Here is a 1,371-nt window from a genome sequence, read left to right as displayed (position 1 = left end):
AAAATGGAAGCCCCAGGTCCTGATTTTATCTGCCAAATTCACTTTGTGGATATGAGTCATCTAACTCTCTGGCTTTGTTATAAGAGTATGGAATGATATAGTGTATATGACAGGCGTTTATAAGCATGAAGCACTGTGCTCATCTAAGGTACTATTTTTGTTGGCATTATCGTTGCTCAAGTCTTAGGTCTGCTATAGAGGTGCCTTGCAGTGCTCTTGCTGCCTGCAATTATGAGTCAGTGCTTTAGGAGTCTGATTTCTAGCCCACAAGCTTTTTGCATAGAGCCCTAAGCTTTATGTCAGCTTCCCATCTGAGATCCTGATTCCAAGATAATGGTCTTTTTGCCCATGTGGACAAATGGCACCTTCCCACTGTTCTTTGTCTTGATTGAGTTGAAGTTTAACTCTGGCCTTATTGTACCTTCCCGATCCTCACTTCCATAGCCACCTCCTTGTGCTTGGTCAGAGAGAAACAACCAACTTCCCTCTCTGCCCAGCTTCCCCGCATATGATGACTTCTTACTACCCAGGTCACTATATTTGCATGAAACTTATATTCAGAATCAATAGAAGATGAATATCTTTGTCAAACTGTATTTTGCCAAGTGACTAAGGACTACAGACTTGTTTATTAACACTACCAGTTAACCAAAACCATGTTAAATGTGTCTGACTGATCACTACTACTACTAATCCAGCTTACATTGTTTTCACTCCCAAAAGCTACCATGATTTTTGATTGAAATTATGATGGAGGGTTATGACAGCTATTGGTTTTACAATGTTTTATTGGGCAATAGCCAATTGGTAATGCACAGGACAGCTCTTCAGAACCCGGGCTGCGTGTTTCAGCCTGAGCTTCAAAGACATGAGTTGGCACTGTTTCCAAGTAATGTACCTCAATCAATTAATAACTTCTACTTATGCTAATCCATAACACTTTAATAAGTACCTATGAACCACAATCACCACATAATTCTTCACTGAATGTATTAGACTTTATATGAATACATCTCTTCTTTTTTTAACCACCAAACAGCTCTCTTTCTTTCTGAATCTATCAGAGAGAAAGATCTTTGAATTATTTTCTGTCTTAGAGAAATTGGTGGTTCTCTTCTTTTCTAAAACGATCTGTGGTATGAAATTGTCCCTTTATAATTTCTTAAGTATCCTCCTCTCTCCAGATTTCTGCTATTAATTACATCCATATTTCCTTTTTACTAGAAATAAAAAGAAAACTGCAATTTTCGTCTATGAGCTTTTCTAATTGCTAGTCTATTTTTCTATTGTTTTCACTACCAGAATGAGTCATCAATATCTGCTGTAGCTTGTTCTTTTCTCTGATTACCTTACAGACTCACTCATACCTCT

Source organism: Homo sapiens, chromosome 15 (assembly GCF_000001405.40).
Source record: "Homo sapiens chromosome 15, GRCh38.p14 Primary Assembly".
NCBI classification, from domain to species: domain Eukaryota; kingdom Metazoa; phylum Chordata; class Mammalia; order Primates; family Hominidae; genus Homo; species Homo sapiens.
The sequence above is the reverse complement of the archived record's forward strand: the minus strand, read 5'-3'. Positions refer to the sequence as shown.